Raw genomic sequence first — 3,019 nt, 5'->3', positions numbered from 1 at the left:
ATTACAACCAATCCCACAGAAATACAAAACAAAAACAAAAACAAAAGAAACAAAAAACAAAGTTCTCAGAGACTATTACAAACACCTCTATGCACACAAACTAGAAAATCTGGAAGAAATGAATAAATTCCTGGAAACATACAGCCTCCCAAGATTGAGAAAATTGAAATCCTGAGCAGATCAATAATGAGTTTCAAAATTGAATCAGTGATAAAAAGCCTACCAATCAAAAAAAGCCCTGGACCAGACAGATTCACAGTTGAATTCCACCAGATGTAAAGAAGAGCTAGTGCCAATCGTACTGAATTTATTCCAAAAAAAATCAAGGAGGAGGGACTCCTTCCTAACTCATTCCATGAAGCCAGCATCATTCTGATACTGAAATCTGGCAGAGACACAACAACAAAAGAAAACATCAACAAGTCAACAATAACAAATAATGGGGAAAGACTCCCTGTTCAATAAATTATGCTGGGATAACTGACTAGCCATATGCAGAAGATTGAAACTGGACTCCTTTCTTTCACCACATACAAAAATTAACTTAAGATGGATTAAAGACTTAAATGTAAAACCTAAAACTAAAAACTCTAGAAGAAAACCTAGGAAATACCATTCTGGACATCAGCCTTGGCAAAGAATTTATGACTAAGTCCTCAAAAGCAACTGCAACAAAAATAAAAATTGACACATGGGACCTAACTAAACTAAAGAACTTCTGCACAGCAAAAGCAACTTTCAGTAGAGTGAACAGACAATCTACAGAATGAGCAAAAATACAAGCTATGCATCTGAAAAAGATCTAATACTGAGAATCTATAAGTCACTTAAACAAATTAACAAGAAAAAAACCCATTTAAGGAACTGGGCAACAGATATGAACAGACTATTCTCAAAAGAAGATATATGTGCAGCCAGCAAATACATGAAAAAAAGTTCATCATCACAAATCATTAGTAAAATGAAATCAAAACCACAATGCAATACTATTTCATAAAAGTCAGAATGGCTATTATTTAAAAGTCAAAAAACAACAGATATTGGTGACCCTGCAGAGAAAATTTAACAGTTCTACACTGCTAGTGGGAATGTAAATTAATTCAGCCACTGTGGAAAGCAGTGTGGACATTTCTTAAAGAACTTAAAACATAGCTGCCATTTGACCCAGCAATCCCACTACTGGGTATATACTCAAAGGAAAATAAGTTGTTATACTGAAAAGTCACATGCGTTTACTTGTTTCTTACAGCACTATTCACAATAGAAAAGACAGAATCAACTATTATGCTCATTAACAGTGGACTAGATAAATAAAAATGTTCATCAATGGTGGACTGGTATACATATACACCATGGAATACTATGCAGCCATAAAAAGAATGAAATCATGCCCTTCGCAGCAACAGGGATGCAGCTGGAGGCCCTCATTTTAAGTGAACTAATATAGGAACAGAAAACCAAATACCGCACATTCTCACTTATAAGTAACAGCTAAATATCGAATACACATGGACACAAAGATAAGAACAATAGACACTGGGGACTGCTTGAGGAGGGAGGGTGGGAGGCGGATTTGTGGGTTGGAAGGCTACCTATCAGGTGCTATGCTCACTGCCTGGGTAATGGGATCATTTGTACACCAAGCCTCAGTGACACGCAATTTACCTATGTAACAAACCTGCATATATATCCCCAAACGTAAAATAAAAACAGATAAGAAAAATAATGTCATTTTGTTAAAAAATAAGAAAAAGAAAACAGATCTTCTGATTTTAACTATCCTTGATGAAAACTTTGCCATTGTCAAAAGAAAAGCATAAACGAACATTTTCTAGATGAAATCATTATGGATAACTACCTTGAGAGCCTTTCCCCACTTGCAAAAGGGTAGCAGTAAGGGAGAGCTGGGGGAGGAGCCAAGATGGCCGAATAGGAACAGCTCCGGTCTACAGCTCCCAGCGTGAGCAAAGCAGAAGACGGGTGATTTCTGCATTTCCATCTGAGGTACCGGGTTCATCTCACTAGGGAGTGCCAGACAGTGGGCGCAGGTCAGTGAGTGCGCGCACTGTGCGCGAGCCGAAGCAGGGCGAGGCATTGCCTCACTTGGGAAGCACAAGGGGTCAGGGAGTTCCCTTTCCGAGTCAAAGAAAGGGGTGACGGACGCACCTGGAAAATCAGGTCACTCCCTCCCGAATATTGCGCTTTTCTGACCGGCTTAAAAAACGGCGCACCACGAGATTATATCCTGCACCTGGCTCAGAGGGTCCTACGCCCACGGAGTCTCGCAGATTGCTAGCACAGCAGTCTGAGATCAAACTGCAAGGTGGCAGCGAGGCTGGGGGAGGGGCGCCCGCCATTGCCCGGGCTTGCTTAGGTAAACAAAGCAGCAGGGAAGCTCGAACTGGGTGGAGCCCACCACAGCTCAAGGAGGCCTGCCTGCCTCTGTAGGCTCCACCTCTGGGGGCAGGGCACAGGCCAACAAAAAGACAGCAGTAACCTCTGCAGACTTAAATGTCCCTGTCTGACAGCTTTGAAGAGAGCAGTGGTTCTCCCAGCACACAGCTGGAGATCTGAGAACGGGCAGACTGCCTCCTCAGGTGGGTCCCTGACCCCTGACCCCCGAGCAGCCTAACTGGGAGGCACCCCCCAGCAGGGGCACACTGACACCTCACACGGCAGGGTATTCCAACAGACCTGCAGCTGAGGGTCCTGTCTGTTAGAAGGAAAACTAACAAACAGAAAGGACATCCACACCAAAAACCCATCTGTACATCACCATCATCAAAGACCAAAAGTAGATAAAACCACAAAGATGGGGAAAAAACAGAGCAGAAAAACTGGAAACTCTAAAACGCAGAGTGCCTCTCCTCCTCCAAAGGAACGCAGTTCCTCACCAGCAACGGAACAAAGCTGGATGGAGAATGACTTTGACGAGCTGAGAGAAGAAGGCTTCAGACGATCAAATTACTCTGAGCTAAGGGACGACATTCAAATCAAAGGCAAAGAAGTTGAAAACTTT

General features: G+C 42.5%; 1 annotated feature.

Moving 5' to 3' along the window:
- Positions 2,167 to 2,816: an enhancer, noted in NCBI's record as "H3K27ac-H3K4me1 hESC enhancer chr2:18198381-18199030 (GRCh37/hg19 assembly coordinates)". NCBI's record gives its function as "activates a minimal SCP1, AML or CMV promoter by ChIP-STARR-seq in naive and primed H9 embryonic stem cells {active_cell/tissue: H9 hESC(naive and primed)}" and the evidence as "EXISTENCE:reporter gene assay evidence [ECO:0000049][PMID:30033119]".

Source organism: Homo sapiens, chromosome 2, assembly GCF_000001405.40.
Source record: "Homo sapiens chromosome 2, GRCh38.p14 Primary Assembly".
Taxonomy (NCBI): domain Eukaryota; kingdom Metazoa; phylum Chordata; class Mammalia; order Primates; family Hominidae; genus Homo; species Homo sapiens.
The sequence above is the reverse complement of the archived record's forward strand: the minus strand, read 5'-3'. Positions and strand labels throughout refer to the sequence as shown.